A 20,230-nucleotide genomic window follows, 5' to 3' on the forward strand; every position below is an offset into this window, starting at 1 on the left:
TTAGCACTGCTGAAGATGGGCGACATAATTCTTTGTTGTAGGAGTTGTCTTGAGCACTGTAGAGTGTTTAGCAGCATTTCTGACCTCACCAGTGCTGTCCCCCTAGTTGTGACAACCAAAAATGTCTCCAGGCATCCAAATGTTCCCTGGGGGACAACTCACTCCCAGTTGAGAACTACTGAACTAGAGAATGAAGAAGTGAAGCTGAGGAGACAGATTTACTTGTCACTTTATATCTCTTTTGTCCCCCATTTGTAAAATGATAATATATTACACAAACAATATAAAGATAATTTTAACAAAAACCAAAAAGATTGCCAGAAATTTTTAATTAACACATTAAATTTAAAGTACTTGTAGGATACGAACCTATGAGGAAAAAAAAAACTATGTAAGAAGCAATATAATTGTTAAAAAGAATTAAAAAGGACTTATCTATTTTCAGAAAAGGCAGAAAGATATATGGATTCTGCTACTTTTTTCCCCACGACTGCCTCTTCTGAAGATGCCCATACTCTTTCTTCCTTTCTTATTCCTATGCTCTGACATCTTTTGGGGACTATAGTTCTCCATGACCAGGATGGCTTAGACCAACACCCTCCTCTTCCTTCTTGTTTTGTATATTCAGACAGATATATAGAGACAAACCAAAACTGATATTGGAAACATAAAAATTTCTAATTTTCCCAAGAAGCACAGGGAATCACTTAACATTTATTTAAAAACTGAAGAAATAAAACAAAGTTGGCATTTGGAAGAAGTATAAAACCCGCCATGAAAACACGGCATAGAATAGAGAAAATCAAGCTAGTAATAGAAATAAATTTGATAATAAATAAATTCCCAAAATTTGGAAATCTTGCCAAGCTTAGCACCTCTGAAAAACAGATGCAACATTTGTAATATGATATTAGGAGGAGGGAAGCAGTCTGTTTATCTTTGGACATGATTTCAAATACAATCATTTTCTGTGACAGTGAGTAACCATACTGAGTGGTAGTATTTAACTTCTTAAGAACATGTACTTCAAAGGTAAAACTGCTATGTGAAAAGTGCCTAAAGGCAATAAATATCATAACCATTGTTCTTATCCACATCAAGTTTGTGTCTGAGTGTATTTAACATATCTGCATAATTTAAGTGGATCTGAAAAACAGTAAGTTTTGTATAGGTGATTGGTGTTATTAATAGAATTATCTATGTTAATTTCAGAGCAAACTGGTTTATTTCAAAGCATTTGATGCAGCTAAGGCTATGACTTTGCTGCAAAAATTTAAAGAAAGTCACTTTTAAAAAATGGTGTAATGTGACCAAAACTTCCTTATGGGCACAAAATTACAAATGCTTCAGTAAAAGCCACCTCAGACATGAGCTCATGATCTTGCTCAGAATATCTGTAACGTATCTCTGGGTAATAATACACTTTTCTGAGAGGTAGCAGGGGAAGGAAGGGCTAAGAGAAAGCATGGCTCTCAGACTGCACCAGAGCTGCTCTTGACTTTAGTTCTGCATCTTGTGTTTGCATATAAGCTTTCTTTTGAAAAGCTATTGTTTGAAAAACAGCTTGAAAACTACAGGTTGAGCCTCACTAATCTGAAAATTCAAAATCCAAAATGCCCCAAAATTCAAAACTTTTTGAGTGCCAACATGACACTACAAGTGGAAAATTGTATCTGGCCTCATGGGATGGGTTGCAGTCAAAACTTTGTTTCATGCACAAAATTATTCAAAATGTTGCATAAAATTACATTCAGCCTGTGTATAAGATGTATGTGAAACATAACTGAATTTTATGTTTAGACTTGGGTCCCCTCCTCAAAATATCTCATTATGCATATGCAAATATTCCAAAATCTAAACAAATCCAAAATCCAAAACACTTCTAGTCCCAAGCTTTTCATATAATAGCATTTTAGTACACGGATATATTCAACCTGTACTGATTTATGCCCATGTAGTAGAAAACTAAATCCTTCCTCTACATTTGGATTTCATGTGTATTTGTATATATGCATATATATAACTTTAATATAAAATCCACATAAGTAATTATATAAAACAAATCATAAATTAGCATACAACTGAAAACCATACCTGATTCTGGCCAGAACAGCTTGTAGGAAGCTCAATACTGTCCTAAGTTCAGATTCTCGACATGCTCGCAGAAGCATACTAAATCCATCATTAAGCAGTTTTTCATGGGAAGGATACAAGCAATAGCTGGTCTCAAACACTTCTTGAACACCATCAATGTATATGGAAAGAAGGGTCCAGATAGTCTGTCTCTGTACCATTTCCTCATTCTTAGACACCAAGAATTCCTTTGCTTTCTCCCGGAAAGCACATGAAAATTTCTCAGCCAAAACACCAATGTCCAGATTTTTCTGGGCATACATCAAGAGGAAGGCCATGTGACCCTTCCAAATGAGGGCTCTCTGAGACGTTACAAAAGCAGGCTTGAGGAAATTCAGGAGGTCTAAAACATGACTTGCAACATCTTCTACCTCTGCAACAGCTGCTAACAGTAGAAAAAGGCTAAAAAAGTTCTGTAGACCAACTTCAGTTAGTTCTTCCATTCTTTTTTGATGGAATTTTGAATATATTCTGTAAAACATTAAAAAATGCTTTAATAAAATTGTTTCATTCACAAAAATCTGTATCTCTTAAAAGAAAATTTGTTTCAATACTCATAACAATCTCATTAAATTTTAAGCTAATTCTTTATTTTGATGCTGCCTTGTCACTTTTTTTACTTAGAAAACACATAATGGCCCTACCTTGAAATTTCCCAATGATGCAGCAAATCACCTGTAAGTGAATCAAAGGATTCAATGGCTTTCCCCAAAGGAAAGTAGAAATGTTTTCATATAGTACATGGCTTTTCCTTTTATTCAAGTCCCCCATCACCTTTCTTTTCTTATTTTGATTAGTAAATAAGAAAGAATATATAATCTTTTAAATACAATTTGATATGCTTTTACAGAGATCTTAACAGGACAATTTTATGTAACAATTTTCCTTAAACTCTTTTCTCCCTGCACCCCCTCACGAACACTTGCTCTTATTTTACTTATACCTTAAGACAATGCAAGGCGTTAGAAAAATTCTTTGTAGCCATCTGCAAAGAACTATGCATTTAAAAATCTCCCATCAATACTATTTAATACAATAGTTGACAAAATAGTACAATAGATAATATAGTTAATAGTTGACATTCTTTTCTTTCATCAATTAAGGGGTTAGAATTGAAAACAATTCATCTGAATTCCTACTTACGAATTAAGTTGTTGTTGGTTTTTTGTTTTTTGTTTTTTTGAGACGGAGTCTCACTCTGTTGCCCAGGCTGGAGTACAGTGGCGCAATTTAGGCTCACTGCAGCCTCCACCTCCCAGTTTCAAGTTATTCTCCTGCCCCAGCCTCCTGAGTAGCTGGGATTGCAGGCACGCACCACCACGCTTGGCTATTTTTTTTTTTTTTTTTTTTTTAGTAGAGACAGAATTTCACCATGTTGTCCAGGCTGGTCTCAAACTCCTGATCTCAAGTGATACGCCCACCTCAGCCTCCCAAAATGCTGGGATTACAGGTGTGAGCCACCACACCTGGCCTTAAGTTTTGCAACTTCTATAACTGGCTTATTCAGGACAGAAATGAGTAATGCTCATGAGAGTTAAATGTTTATAAATACTTAAAAGCTGACAAACTCTTAAAAGTAAAAATCTGTTTAATTATCTTTGTATTGTCTACTACTATCCCCACTATAGTGCTTGACATATAGTATGTGTCTAATAGACTTGTTATTGAATAAACTCCAATGACTTCTTTTAGCCATAAAGTTCTGAGTATTATGTCTTCCATAAAATTGCTTAAGATTCAAAAACAAACTGTCAAATAGAACAAAATAAAAAAAAACTGTTTAAGCCATGTGATTCTTGTAGATTTAATAAAGAAGCTGGCATTTAAAACAGTATATGACAAATGAAATATCCAAACCATATCACCATACCCTTATAAGAATTACTCACTGTGGGACTCAAACAGGAATTTCATTAAGTGATTCTTGAGAAGTCCCTACCTAGTATTCTCTTCCCTGAGAGGTCTCAACAAATAATCTGAGCAAGTGGTAGATGGTGGTGTACTGCACAAAGAAGGCTAAGAAAAGAGCTAATATAGGCAAAGGAAGTAGAAAAAAGAAAGACAATTTAAAAGTATACTCATTGAACAAGCAAAACTCTCAAAAGAGACAGAGAAAACAATGGACTAATGTGACCAAAGTTTATTTTATCAGAAATGAAAACAGCATAGTTCCCAAATGAGAACATTAGTTATCTGGTTCTACTATACTGTGGTCAGTTCTCATTTAAAAAACAAAACAAACCAAAAAAACCAGTGCTTGTGAACCGCTGGGCTCAAAGAACACAAAAGTTTTATATGTTGAAACTATTACCTACCAACGTACAACTTGAAGATGTTTGTTTCTATCACTTTTAATCAAATGCATATAATGGATTACCTAGTAACATTATAACTAATTAAGACTCTAATCCCAAGTAAACATAACAAAATACAAATAGTAACACCTATCCAAAGATATCAGTGCACACTCATGACAGAAGATACTGCATATACCTTCCTTTGACTTGTTTCCAAGGATGAGGGCCATTGCTCTTCATTGCTTTTTTAACAACTTTTGCCAGAATACAAAGAAAAATAGTATAACTACTGCTGGATTTATATAGTTCCTGATCTTGTTTATCGCAACAGCAAGTCTTCACCATTTCAAGCATAGACAAGGGTGACTTCATGGTATTAGCAAGGCCTTTAAAAGGAAGCCAAGAAATACTGAAGGAACTATTCTAAAAGGGGGGAAAAAAAAGATAGAAAACAATTATTAGTCTCTTAGTAAATAAAATGGTAAGCTGCAAATCCCAGTTAGTTGGTTCATCAAAAGTCTGACTCATCTTAATCACAAAAACTACATGAACACGATTCTCTAAAATAAAAATTCCATGAAAGTACAGAGCATCAAGAGGTGTCCAAATTTTGGATTGTCCCCCAAATGTGTTTTTAACAGTTGATTTGTCCAAATTAGGATACAAACAAGATCCATACATTGCATTCAGTGATATGCATGGCACTGTGGGCTCTTTTATTCTTTAAGTTTCCCAATGTTTTTGTTATACCACTTGTTTTTAATATCAGGTCATTGGTTGTATAAAATTTCCCATGTTCTAAATTTAGCTGCTTGTATGGCTCTAGTGTTACTTAATCTTTTTTCCCTTCCCTTTTCTGTAAATTGGTGGCTATATCTAGAGGTTTCATCAGATTTATGTTGACTTTTTTGACAAGAATCTTTCATCAGTAGTACTAAGTAGTTCCTATTGCATTTAGTAAAAAGGCACATAAGTTCTGACTTTTTGTGATGTTAAAACTGGTCAGGTTATCAGCCTGGTCCACCCATTTTAGTGGTCCCACAAGCCTTTTACTTAACAGTTTTCGTAGCATTGATGATCATTGCCCAGATGCCTTATTTCATTAAATGTACAAAATGGTGACTTCTAATTCTATCACGTTTTCTTAATTAACTCATCAGAAATCTGATTACTCTAAAATATAGTTTGTATTTTCTTTACAGTTTTCAGAATTAGGTGTTTCTTTTTTCAGAGTAACTTTTTACAAAGAAGCATAAACTCAGAGATTTAAACATATTTAATATGTTTTAATCTATTGCAGTCATTATTCTTTCTTATGCTCAAATTTTCCCATTTTCTGGGCAATGGACATTCCTTCAGGTTGGCTCCTGTGTTCTTCTGACATGACTCTAGCTTAATTTGATACCTTTCCTGCTTTCTGGTATGACAAGACACCCTAGACTCACCCTGGACTCTTCCTGCCTCAAGACTACAATCAGTCATTTCTCCAACTAGCCTAAAATTATGCTTCAGAGAAGGGCATTTTTCTAATTTTTTAATAAGCTCCATTATCCACAAATCCAAACATTATTTACTTGTAAATCTTCCATTACCATTTTCTATTTTGATTGAGAGGTTCACTAATTATTTACCCCAAACCCAAAACATCCCAAATTTCCTTTCTATATACAAAGTATAAATCCTTTAAATCTACCTTTAAATTTTCAATCTTCCAAACTCATCCTCTCCTTTCTAAATATATTGTTCCTATTTCAGTTCTCAGCCATAGTATCATTTGCTCATACAACTACAATAAACCACTAAGTTGTCTGTACCCAATTCATTTACACCACTTTCAGAAAAAAAAAAAAAGCTTTCTCAAACACATACCTAAGTCACATCCTCGCTATTTAGTGTCTCCTGAATAAACCAGAATTAACTGTACATTATCTTCAACCCTTCATAGCCTAGCCCCAGACTGCCTTCTCTAGTCTCCTATCTTCGGTCTCTCCATAGTTATCCGAGGCCTATAATTCAGAACTATTTAACATGGTAGGAACAGACCATGCTTTTTCATACCTCCATGTATTTGTCCATGTTGTTCATTCTGCCTGGATCCCTTTTTCTTCTGTTAGAAAATTCTACTCATTCCCAAAGCCAAGTTCAAAAATTATGACCTCATGAAGTCTTCCACAAATACAGATACCGGGTTAGATACCCTCTCCTCTGGAGTTCCACAATTATAACTTTTTTCCCACAATGTATGTATACCCACCCACTAGTAGCCTATAAGCTACTCAAATGCCAGGATTGTTTCTTACTCAGGACAGCAGTGCCTGTTCAATGTGTCATGAGCAATCAATTATTATTAGAAACATTTATAAATGAAGATTTTATAAATATCTGATACATTTTAGCTACTTTGTTTACCCTTGCTCTCAAGAGAAAAAGGATACCAAATGCTGTTTCCCTTATGACAAAGCTCTACAATGTTAAAGATAAAACTATTCACGAGCTACTCCAATCTACTCTGAAAAAAATTAACTTTTTAAGAAAAATCCATAACTATTCATAATTAAACCATAAAGACATTCCTCAAATATGTACAAATTTTTAAAATTCCTGGAGCAAATTCCTATTCTATTCACTCACCAGGTTCTTACTATAATATTCCCATAAAATGGTAACAATTGCAATGTTTGGCTCCCAGAAATCACAAAGTGTCAAACAACAGTGAAGATACATTCGTAATTGTTCTTCTAGAATGACACCCTAAAAAATAAACTGAAGTTATGAGAAGGTAAATGGGCTCTGGCAATATAAACATTTTCACTTGATATTGTGCTGTATATAACCTGCAGCTAAAAAGAAAATAAATATGTGTCACCCAATCATACCCATTCTCATATGCAGACTAGGTCTAAATCAACACAACACATACTTCCAAAAACATGTTTTAAACACCATTAACACATTCAGATAACAGAAGTCACATAACTCGACTTTTAATTCAATTATTTAAAAATTACAGGTGTTTCATAATTGAATGGTACTGGAAACCCAGAAACCAGAAAAGGAACCCAAACCAAAAAGAAGTGGCAAAAATGATGTAACGATTAAGATGTACACAAATCCAGAGTGCTTGGTCATACTTAAGTACTTGGTCAAATCTTTTTATAGGATTATAGGAGTTGTTCTTTCTAAAACCAAAGGATTGTCAGAGTACATCTATTTTAACCTTTTAGGAGATAACAGGAGGAAAAGGAAGTAGAAAAAACATAGATGCTTTTTCTATGACGATATAACCATGCATATATTTTTTAAATAACACACTGAATTCCAATCATTCAACAATTGTATTTAAAACTTACCACATACTAGGCACTGTTTTAACGTACTAGGCATAGGACAACAAGTAAGTCAGAGATAGCACATGTACTGGTAGAGCTTACATTTTTGGAAAGAAAAGAAAAGGACACTAAAACAAGATAAATTTGAACAGAAGTAACTGCTGTGAAAATGAAACAAAGCAAAGTAATGTGGCAAAGTAATTGGTAAAGGATAAGCATCATTATTTTATTAGCTGCTATGAATGGAAAAGCCTTTTGAAGGGCTGCAATTGAACTACATGATTAAATGAAAGTCAATAAAGACTTGGAAGAAAAACATTCAAGGCAGAGAAAATGAGTGGAAAGTTCCTCAATTATTAGTAGGCTTGGTATTATAAAATTCTAGACAGGAAGACATCATATCTCATTTGAGGCTTTACTGGTCTTGGTAAGAAATTTGGATTGTATTTTAAATATGTTGGGAAGCTACTGGAAAAGAGTAAGCACAGAAGTGACATGATGTGATTGTTTCAAAAACACTGCTCTGGATTATACATAAAGAGTGAATAGAGGGGTTAAGAAGAGATGCAGGGAGACCAGGTAGGAGGCGACTGTGCGAAACTATAAGACTGAAACTTTAAAGATATGTTTGGAAAAAGATTCAGTGGGATTTGCTGGTAAATTACATTAAAGTATGAAAGAAAGAAGTTTCAGGTTTTTGCATAAGGAAATAGGTCAATGGTGCTATTTCCTGAAATGGCAAAGACTAAAGGAAGAACTTATGAGGTGAGTGTCCAGGGTATACAAGTAGAGCTATTAAGCAGATAATCTGACCTATGGGTCTAGAGTTAAGGGATTAAAGTCAGAGTTGTTGACATAAATTTGGGTCAATGATAAAAGGATCCATAACTGAGAGCCATTTGATATTATAACATTTTCATATGAAGCAAGTGGAGAATATATGCAAAAACAAGTGGTCAATGAAGTAAAAAGGAAACCAGGCATTGCGGATGCCAAGAGAAGTACTTCAGAAAAACGACAATGGTGAACAGGATTGACCTCTGCTCAGAGGTTACAAAAAGAAGAAATAAGAACCCTTGGAAGAAACAATATGGAAGTCATTGACGGCCTTCCCAGAGCAGTTTGGGGCTTGATGAAGACTATGATGAAGAAGCTCAACTATGGATGGCTGAGGACATCTAGGAGGTGAGGAAGTAAATATTTAAGTGAAAATACACAAACAATAAAGTCCTTGAACAGGTGAGAAGAGTTAAGATCCAGTGCACGAGGGAAGGAATTAGCTCTTGATAGAAAGTGACACTTCTAACATAAAAGAAGAATAGTCTGAGAGGTTGAATATGAAGCAGATGTGTTGGGAGATTTAAAGCTGTAAAGATAGGAATTCTTACCTGACCAATTCTATTTTTCAATGATTTATGAGGCAAGATGTTAACCCGAATGGATTGGAGAAGAGTACGTATTAAATTTTATGTCAAAGAGAAGTTCCGGGCCAGGCACGGTGGTTCACACCTGTAATCCCAGCACTTTGGGAGACCGAGCTGGGTGGATCACCTGAGGTCAGGAGTTTAAGACCAGCCTGGCCAACATGGCGAAACCCCATCTCTACTAAAAAATACAAAAATTAGCTGGACGAGATGGCAGGCACCTATAATCCCAGCTACTCGGGAGGCCAAAGCAGGAAAATCGCTTGAACCCGGGAGGAGCCAGACGTTGCAGTGAGCCGAGACTGCCATTGCACTGGGAGACAGAGTGACACTCTTTCTCCAAAAAAAAAAAAAAAAAAAAGAGAAGTTCTGAAGTAAGTCATTAAGTCATTTTGGAGAGCAGAAAAGCAAACATTCTAGAGCTGATGGCCATTTGAGATTATGATCAACAATTTAAAGTCAATCATCTTAGTAAAAATGAATGTATGATTTTCTCTCACAATATTCAGTTGTGGGTGGTGTGGGAGATAGGAGAGAAAGAATGGCTTTTTCATGGTTAAAACAAGTTAAGGGCTATGGAATTAAAGATGTTTCTTATGGAGTAATGCCCAAATGTAATATGCCTAAATTTGATTGTTCAAAATTAAGATAAGACATTCTTTTAAAAAGGACTAAAGCAGAGATTAAGGCCGGGCACGGTGGCTCACACCTGTAATCCCAGCACTTTGGGAGGCCAAGGAGGGCAGATCACCAGGTCAGGAGATCGAGACCATCCTGGCTAACACGGTGAAACCCCGTCTCTACTAAAAATACAAAAATTTAGCTGGTCATGGTGGCGGGTGCCTGTAGTCCCAGCTACTCAGAAGGCTGAGGTAGGAGAATGGCAAGAACCTGGGAGGCGAAGCTTGCAGTGAGCCGAAATAGCGCTACTGCACTCCAGCCTGGGTGACAGAGCGAGACTCCGCCTCAGAAAAAAAAAAAAAGGACTAAAGCAGAGATTAGAAGCAGGCATATTCATTTAATGGACTTATTGGAATATTCATTAAAAATAATTGGTTGTGTATATTGTTTAAGAAACAAAGTGAGGAAATGGAAGAGGACAGAAAAATGAAAAGGTCAATGGTAACGGGCAAAATGAAAAGAAAAATGAAAAGTGAAAAGCTGTAGAGTATAACCATGGGAGGAGGTAGATAAGGCAAGTAAAAGAAAATCTAATAAGAAGTGAGGCTATTAAGAAATTGAAAGGACAGTTCGATTATACCCAATAACGTCAGGGTCACTAGCAGAAATAGTGTACAGGTAAAGAAGAACACAGTGATCTTGGTACAAAACCTTTTCAATGAATGAAGAGTGACCCAAATATGGGTAAAAAGCAGCAATGCACAATTTTTTTTGGACAAGGCCTTAACTCTTTATTCATTATTTAAAATACACTTCAAACTACAAGTTCTCCAGAAAACTTCCTAACTCCCTTACTAGATAAGTGGCCTTTCTTTACGCTTTTATGGCACACTAGGCATACCTACATCATCATACTTACCTTGTTAAGTTTAATGTTTATCTGCTTTCAAGTGTCTAAGAGCTCTCTGAAAGATAGAATAATACCCACATGGTATATACGCCACGGTGCCTGTTTCACCAAAGAGCCTCCATAAATGATTCATGAACAAAACTGAGATCTGGGTTCTGATGCTTCTTCCCAACAAGTAGAGTTATGGCTTAGGGAAAGACATTTAGCTTCTCTAATAAACAATTAAGCTTATTTAACCAAAGAAGGCAAGGTTCTGTCCATCACTAATATCCTCTAATTTTATTATGAAAATATTAAACTAGATCCAGGTTCATATTGATTCCTATGGCACATTACTGAATTGAAATAAAGCATACTAATTTTATCATGTTTATAAGGTAAAAAAGTAGGTTATGTTATCAAAGTTCACACTGAAGGGTTTTATTTAACATCTGAAATTCATTTTACCATGTAAAATCCAGAAAAACATATTTAAACTATAAAAAATATGCAAAGTTTGGGAAAAGCAAAAGTATGAATGCTAGGTACCAAACAGTGGAGTTAAACATATGAAAATTCAAATCTCAGTTCTGCCATTTCCTAAGCTAGCTGTGTGAACCTGGACAAGTTCTTCAAACATTCTGGGCCTCAGTCTGTAAAAGTATAAAACGGAAACAGAAATATCACTACACACGACTGTCGTAAGTATTAAGTGAAGGTATGTGCAGTAAGTGTTAAGCAGAGTGCTTGCACAGGGATAGCTATCGTTTTGTTATCTGCAGGAGAGAAATGTACTTTAGACCAATGTTACTCTTCTGATGATCAAATAATAAATGCAACAGGGTCATAGTATTGTTCCTTAAGATGATACATATCAATTTTGTCAGTTTTAAGCAAACCCTACCAGAGATTTGATTAAAGACATGTAATTCCATGCCCTCTGATTAAAGATTGTTTTTAGTAAGCCATAAGGCCTGTGGGCCTCTTTTCCACAAAGCCTTAAACCTGACTGGCTCAAGGAGTACTACGCATCTCCCACATTTTCAGAAGCCCTTATGGGCTCTCAGCGTGTCTCATCTCGTGTGTGTGTGTGTGTGTGTGTGTGTGTGTGTTTGAGTGTATCAGACGGGGAGAGAATATGAGCTATTTAATGAATATTCCAATAAGTCCGTTAAATGAATATGCCTGCTTCTAATCTCTGCTTTAGTCCTTTTCTAAAGAATGTCTTATCTTTATTTTGAACAATCAAATGTACGCATATTACATTTGGGCATACTACATAGGTCAAATCTTTAATTGGACTAATAAGGTGCACATTCACTCTTTTAGCTCTTTTTTTGAGACGGAGTGCTCTGTCGCCTAGCGGAGTGCAGTGAGCCGAGATCGCGCCACTGACTCCGCTAGGCGAAACAGCGAGACTCCATCTCAAAAAAAAAAAAAAGAAAAAAGAAATGGCAATTTAACAACTGGTTATTATATATAATTTAACAAAGACTCATTTATTTATGCATAACTAGCCTACCTATCAGAAACCATCACAAGAAGAAAATTTATTCACAGTCTAAACAGTAACTGTTACCAGAAGTTTGCCTAATTGGATTTATTTTTAGGAGAGAATAGAGTTGGGCTTCAATATCCCAGTTACGATCCTTCTACTCAAGAAACACTGATTTTTAGTTAGTTATTTAAAGACTATTGTCCCACATTATTTAGATCTAATCACATTCTGAGTTGGTTCTACTCCTGGACTCTCCAAATTAATGTGTTTAAAAAATCAAAATAATTTTTTAAAATCAGGCTTACTTTTTAAATACCCTTCCATAACCTTTATAAAACTAAAAATTACTTCTGTGATCTCAGAAAACAATGAGGCTTTTAAAAAGCAGGCAGCAAAAGATGAAAAATCTTTCTCATATGAAAACAATAATGCTGTTCCCAAAGGTAGAACACACGTTTACAATTAGCATTCACAAATATTAAATAGGATTACCTCTAAAAAACTGTACTTAAGTAAGTAAAATTGAGCAATATACGTTCTCTTTACTAAACTAAAACTCCACCTCTGTTTCTGGCAGATCCTCTCTAGCTAGAAAAAAGAATTCAAAACATTATTTGCTTGATTAAAGCTGTAGTGGTCAGGCTGGGTGCGGTGGCTCCCATCTGTAATCCCAAGCACTATTGGAAGCTGAGGCAGGAGGATTCCTTGAGGCCAATAATTCAAGATCAGCCTGGGAAACACAGCAAGATCTGTCTATAAAATGAAGATATTAGCCAGACATGGTGGCATGCACCTGTCCTAATGACTCGGGAGAAGGAGGCAGAAGAAGTGCTTGAGCTCAGGAGTTCAAGGTTATAGTGAGCTATAACCACACCACTGTACTCCAATCCAGCCTGGGTGACAGTGAAAGACTCTGTCTCTTTAAACAAAAAATAAAAACAAAAAGTATAATGAAGTGTACACTAATTTTATTTGAAGGCTGCTGTATATTTGGAAGATTTTTATTTTGTTTAAATACAGCAAATGGACTCTTTCACCACTGTCACTGTTGGAGATCAAGTCAAAGTACATGACCATGGTCAGATTTCAATTTACCTCAATGGGAGGAAAATAGATATAATCAAACTGACAGTTCTATCCAAATATATTATTCTTTACAACTACCTACTACTGCTCCCACAAAATTGGTTTCCAGAAATCCAACACATAGTCCTATACTACTTATAGAATATAATTTGATACAATCAAGGAACACTAAAACTGAAGGAATAGCAGAGAACCACAGAACTACTTCTTCATAAATATTATAATCGCCTCTTTTCCCATAGGAAAGATATTTTGACTTTATGCTAGACCTAAATTCATAGAGCATGTTTCTTAGATTAGTCATATTATTCCTACTTCTAGGGTGACTAACTCATCCTGGTTTGCTCAGATGTTTCCTGGTTTCACACTGAAACTCTGGGCCATGCAAACCAGGATAGGATGGCTGGTCACCTGACCTACTTTTTTCCCCACAACCAATAGTCTTTGGGGAACAGGTGGTGTTTGGTTACATGAATAAGTTCTTTAGTGGTGATTTCTAAGGTTTCGGTGCACCCATCACCTGAGCAATATACACTGTACCCAAAGTATGGTCATTTTTTTTTTTTTGAGACAGAGTTTTGCTCTTGTCACCTAGGCTATAGTGCAATGGCGTGATCTTGGCTCACTGAAACCTCTGCCTCCCAGGTTCAAGTGATTCTCCTGCCACAGCCTCCTGAGAAGATGAGATTACAGGCACATGCCACCACACCCGGCTAACTTTTGTATTTTTAGTAGAGACAGAGTTTCACCATGTTGGCCAGGCTGGTCTTGAACTCCTGACCTCAGGTGATCCACCTGCCTTGGCCTCCCAAAGTGCTGGGATTACAGGCGTGAGCCACCACACCCGGCCTGTACCCTAAGTATAGTCTTTTATCCCTCACCCTACTCCCACCATTCCCCTCAGGCCCTCAAAGTCCATTATATCATGCTTACACCTTTGTGTCCTCATAGCTTACCTCCAAGTTAAAAACGAGAACATATGTTGGTTAGTTTTCCATTCCTGAGTGTTGTCACTAAGAATAATGGTCTCCACTCAATCCAGGTTCCTGCAAATACCATTATTTCATTCCTTTTTAAGGCTGAGTAGTATTCCATGTTCTATATATAAGAAGTTTTCTCTATTCACTCATTGATTGATGGGTATTGGGCTGGTTCCATATTTTTGCAATTGCAAATTGTGCTGCTATAAACATGCATGTGCAAGTGTTTCATAATGCTTCTTTTCATCTGGAGAGACACCTAGCCATGGCACTGATAGATCAAATGTTAGATCTTCTTTTAGTTCTCTAAGGAATATCCATAATGTTTTCCACAGTGTTTGTACTAGTTTACATTCCCACCAGCAACGTAAGTGTTTCCTTTTCACCAAATCCACACCAACATCTATTTTTTTTTTATTTTTAAATTATGGCCATTCTTGCAGGAGTAAGGTGGTGTTGCATTGTGGTTTTGATTTGCATTTCCCTGATCATTAGTGATGTTGAGCATTTTTTCATCTGTTTCTTGGCCATTTACATATCTTCTTTTGAGTACTGCCTATTCATGTCCTTAGCCCACTTATGGATGGGATTTGGGTTTGGTTTATTCTTGTTTCTCTAGTTCCTTGAAGTGTGACCTTAGATTGTCTATTTGTGCTCTTTCAGACTTTTTGATGTAGGCATTTAATGCTATGAACTTTCCTCTTAGCACTGCTTTTGCTGTACCTCAGAGGTTTTGATAGGTTGTGTCACTATTACTATTCAGTTCAAAGGATTTTTAAATTTCTATTTTGATTTCATTATTGACCTAAAGATCATTCAGAAGCAGATTATTTAATTTCCACGTATTTGTATAGTTTTCAAGGTTCATTTTGGAATTCATTTCCAATTTTATTCCACTGTGGTCTGGGAGAGTACTTGATATAATTTCAATTTTTTAAAAATTATTGAGACTTGTGGCCTATCATATGGTCTATCTTGGAGAATGTTCCATGTGCTGGTGAAGAGAATGTATATTCTGCAGTTTGAGTAGAATGTTCTGTAAATATCTGTTAAGTCCATTTGTTCTAGGGTATAGTTTAAATCCATTGTTTCTTTGTTGGCTTTCTGGCTTGATGACCTGACTAGTGTTGTCAGTAGAGTACTGAAGTCCCCCACTATTATTGTGTTGCCATCTATCTCATTTCTTAGGTCTAGTAATTATTTTATAAATTTGGGAGCTCCAGTGTTAGTTGTGTATGTTCCCTATTTAGGATTGTGATATTCTTCTGTTGGATACTTTTATCATTACATAATGTCCCTCTGTCTTTTCAAACTGTTGTTGTTTTAAAATCTGTTTTGTCTGATACAAGAATAGCTACTTCTGCTCACTTTTGGGGTCCATTTGAATGGACTATCTTTTTCCACCCCATTACCTTAAGTTATGAGTCCTTATGTGTTAAGTCTCTTGGAGACAGCAGATACTTGGTTGGTGAATTTTTATCCATTCTGCCCTTCTATATCTTTCAAGTGACACATTTAGGTCATTTACATACAACGTTAGTATTGAGATGTAAGGTACTATTCTATTCACTGTGGTAGTTGTTGCCTGAGTGCCTTTTTTCATTGTGTTATTGTTTGATAGGCCCTGTGAGATTTATGCTTTAAAGAGGTTTGTTTGGTATATTTTGAGGTTCAAGATTTAGGTCTCCTTTCAGCAGTTCTTATAGTGCTGGCTTGGTAGTGGCAAATTCTCTTAGCATTTGTTTGTCTGAAAAATACTTTATATCTTTCCTTCATTTATGAAGCTTAGTTTCACTGGACACAACATTCTTGGATGATAATTTTGTTTAAGGATGCCAAAGATAGGACCCAAATCCCTTCTAGCTTGTATTCTGCTAAAATAGCTGCTGTTAATTTGATAGGTTTTCCTTTGTAGGTTACCTGATGCTTTCTGCCTCACAGCTCTTAAGATTCTTTGCTTTGTCTTCACTTTAGGTAACCTGATGACTATGTGCCTAAGGTGATTATCTTTTTTGTGATGTTTCCCAGGTGTTCTTTGAGCTTCTTGTATTTGGATGTCTAGATCTCTAGCAATGCCAGTGCACTTTTCCTAGATGATTCCCTCACATAAGTTTTCCAAACTTTTAGATTTCTCTTCTTCTTCAGGAACACCAATTATTCTTAGGTTTGGTCACTTAACATAATCCCAATATTCTTGGAGGTTTTGTTCATTTTTTTAAAAAATTCTTTTTTCTTTGTCTTTATCGGATTGGATTAATTTGAAAACCTTGTCTTCAAGCTCTGATGCTCTTTCTTCTACTTGTTTGATTCTACTGTTGAAACTTCTCAGTGCATTTTGCATTTCTCTAAATGTGTCTTTCATTTCCAGAAGTTGTGATTGTTTTTTATTTATGATATATATTTCTCTGGAGATCTTTTCATGCATATCTGTTATTATTTTTTAAATTTCTTTAATCTGGTTTTCACATTTCTCTGTTGCCTCCTTAAGTAACGTTAAGAATCGACCTTTAGAACTCTTTTTCTAGTAATTCAGAGATTTCTTCTTGGTTTGGATTAATGGCTGGTGAGCTAGTGTGATCTTGTGGGGGTGATAAAGAACCTTGTTTTGTCCTATTACCAGAATTGTTTTTCTGGGTCCTTCTCATTTGGATAGACCATATCCAGAGGAAAGATCTGAGATCCAAGGACTAATGTTCTTTTGTACTGCAGGGTGATCCCTTGATGTGGTGTTCTCCCCCTTCCTGAGAGCCAGACTGCAGTGATTGTTATTGCTCTTCTGGGTCTAGTCACCCAGCAGAGCTACTGGGGTCTGGGCTGGTACTGGGGTGGGGGGTGTCTGCAAAGAGTCCTGTGATGTGATCTATCTTCAGGTCTCTCAGCCGTGGATACCACCACCTGCTCTGGTGGAGGTAGCAGGGGAGTGAAATGGACTCTGTGAGGATCCTTGGTTGCAGTTTTGTTTAGTACATTGGTTTTCTTGAATGCTGGTTATGCTAGCAGTGAAGTTGTCATGTGGACAGACTCAGGACCTCTGGTTAAACAGGATGTTACAGGTAATGAAATTAGATGTTGTTTTCTCCTTCCTTGGTGCAGGGTTGTTCTGTTATGAGTTGCCGTAATGGCTTGAGTTGGTTGGCCTCCAGCCAGGAGGTGGCACTTTCAAGAGGGCATCAGCTGTGGTACTACAGGGGGGACATAAACTTGCCCTGAAATCACCTGCATAAGTATTCAGGTTTCTCAGGTGATGGATGGGGCCATGGAGCTCCCATGAGTTTATGTTTTCTATCTTCGGCTACCAGGTGGGTAGAGAAAGACTGTTGATAGTTAATACTGAGTGTCAACTTGGTTGGATTGAAGAATGCAGTATTGATCCTGGGTGTGTCTGTGAGGGTGCTGCCAAAGCAGATTAACATTTGAGTCAGTGGGCTGGGAAAAGCAGACCCACCCTTAATCTAAGTGGGCACAATCTAATCAGCTGTCAGCTCAGCCAGAATAAAGAGCAGGCAGAAGAACATGAAAAGACTAGACTGGCTTAGTCTCACATCCTACATTTTTCTCCCGTGCTGGATGCTTCCTGCTCTCAAACATTGGACACCAAGTTCTTCAGCTTTGAGACCTGGACTGGATTCCTTGCTCCTCAGCTTGCAGGTGGCCAATTGTAGGACCTTGTGATCATGTGAGTTAATACTCCTTAATAAACTCCCATATATATTAGTTCTGTCCCTCTAGAGAACCCTAATACAAACCATAAGATGGGGGAATGGTTAGGCATGGCTGAGCTCAGACTCTCCTTGGGCAGGGCTTGATGCGACCACTGTGGAGTGGGTATGGGCGGGGGCAGTTCTCAGGGCTACGAAATTATGTTCGAAGGGGAATTATGGCTGCCTCTGCTGCTTCATAAAGGTCTCCAGAGAAGTGGGGGAAAGCTGGCAGTGGCAGGCCTCACCCAGCTCCCATGCAGCCAGCAAGGTCAGTCTCACTCCCGCTATGCTCCCTCAACAGCCAACAGAGCTGAATTTATATCCAGGCCTCTGGTGTGCAGGGCTGAGATCTATGTAAATATATATAATATATATATTTATCCATATAAACCTTTAAAGCTTCTTAAGAAATATTCTGTAACTTAAAACCAGCTGAGTGCAAAACCATAAATTCATACACTGTTAGAGCTGAAAGGGAGTTTAAAAATTATTAAATACAACAGAAACATGGGTCAATGAGAAAGCAATTTAAAGAACACAAGCAGTTACAACCTAACTGAAAATTAAACCCCTAGTTACTGACTCAGATTCAGTAACTCCCAATAGAATAATAATGTTATCCAGACTTTACTGAAATTCTCTGGATTTGGTTAAAGCATTAAGACTGAATTAGTAACTGATACAAATGACAATGGCCACTGTAATATGCATCTTATTTCACAACCACTTTTTAGTAATTCCCTTCATTCTGAAATAAAAAATATACATAAAAAACTTTTTAAGTTACTAAATCAATATGTTCTCAAAAAAAATGAGGACAACCAATGAACATGATATAGGACAAAATACAATAAACAAAACTTTTACAGGGATTATGGGAAAGATTATAAAAAGATAATAGATTTGTTTCTGATCCAATTTATGTATGCAGAATTCTTTGGCATTCTAAGCTAAAATTTTTAGTTCATAATTATGTGATTCATATTATAACTAAATGCCTTTATGTTTCCTAAAAAAGTAAGAGTTAATGCAGATAATGGGTAAAAGAAAATTTCAAGCAATTAAAATTTTTCCAAAGACATAGCTACTACAGACACACACACACACACACACACACACACACACACACACACATATAAAGCAATATTATACTACAATATTTTTTATTCCTCTTCAAGTTTTAAATAATCTTTATTTCTTAAAAGAAAAATATTTCCCAAATTCCAAAATATTATTTATTATAATTCTCCATAAACTCTTACAAAAATGATAACATATTACAAAACTTTACAGGGCTTCCATACAATATGTTTAAAAATGTGATGAACAGCATGTTTAAAACTATTTTAAAAGGAGGTCAAGTCTGACCTCTAGGCCATGAAGCACTACATTAACAGCTCTGCAGAAAGAAAAATGATAAGGTATGAAACGAATGGTCAGAAACTAGGACCTTATCAGTTAGAATATGATTCAAGCCTGTAAGACAAATTGCTCAGCAAGGCAAGTCACCTTCCTGCTGTGATGAGGATATAGCTGAATTTTCAATGCCAATGACTATCTCCCTCATTGTGTCACCTAGTTTGATATCATACAGTCAAGGAATGGCATACAGTTCTGAAGCATCTACCACTTATTTTGAATACATTTTGTCAAAGTCATCAACTAGGATATTATTGTCCTTTAACTGACAACTTAGTGTTAAAAATCTTTAAAGAATAATCACTAAAAGAAACTACTGTGAGTTAACCCTTCAAAGCATGAAAGTTATTTGTTTTCTGAATCATTTTAACAGCTTGCTTGGTTTTAAAAATAAAATTTGTAACATAAAAATTAAGCAAAATCCACAAACTGTCTTACTTTAATTGCATACCTGAACACTGATGGACTTTTTCAGCAGTTCTTCTACAAAGTTCCAATTTGATTCCACTTTTCTCTAGAAAGGGAGAAAATAGTGCATCAAAATTATTGCTCTTGATTATGCCTATATTTAAAATTAGGGTATAGCAAATTAAGTGTGCAGTACATTTTCCTCTATCATTCAGCATCAATGTGATTTCTTGAATTTCTAATATTCCTTTGGTAAAGAGTTAACAAACTTGGCAGAAAAAAATGTACAACTATTCCAATCCAATACAAACCATATCAGGAGTTGTAACAGTGGTGCTTCAGTAAGATTATAAATATTCTACCAAATATTTAATTTCTGCTTTCAGATACAAAATCCAACAGGAAAAAAAAAAAATTATATAGCCACATGTATTTTTGGTGTTTG

General features: G+C 36.1%; 1 protein-coding gene across 24 annotated transcripts in view; it reads right to left on the reverse strand.

The window, feature by feature from the left end:
• Window positions 1-20,230, reverse strand: part of MMS22L (MMS22 like, DNA repair protein) — a 141,875-nt gene that overhangs the window by 84,639 nt on the left and 37,006 nt on the right. For 16 of the 24 annotated variants that reach the window (XR_942376.2, NM_001350600.2, NM_001350599.2 and 13 more), the window contains 4 exons: window positions 19,829-19,891; window positions 7,062-7,181; window positions 4,627-4,853; window positions 2,095-2,604 (listed from right to left, as the gene is read on the reverse strand). Coding sequence is in view for 23 of the 24 variants with exons in the window: in NM_001350600.2 (NP_001337529.1) it covers window positions 2,095-2,604; window positions 4,627-4,853; window positions 7,062-7,181; window positions 19,829-19,891 (920 nt within the window). In the remaining variant the exon portion in view is untranslated. Of the gene's footprint in view, window positions 1-2,094; window positions 2,605-2,777; window positions 4,356-4,626; window positions 4,854-7,061; window positions 7,194-19,828; window positions 19,892-20,230 lie in introns of those variants that run through there. The other 8 variants (XM_047418577.1, XM_047418578.1, XM_047418579.1 and 5 more) reach the window with 3 other exon arrangements.

The sequence above is a fragment of the Homo sapiens genome, chromosome 6, assembly GCF_000001405.40.
Source record: "Homo sapiens chromosome 6, GRCh38.p14 Primary Assembly".
NCBI lineage: Eukaryota > Metazoa > Chordata > Mammalia > Primates > Hominidae > Homo > Homo sapiens.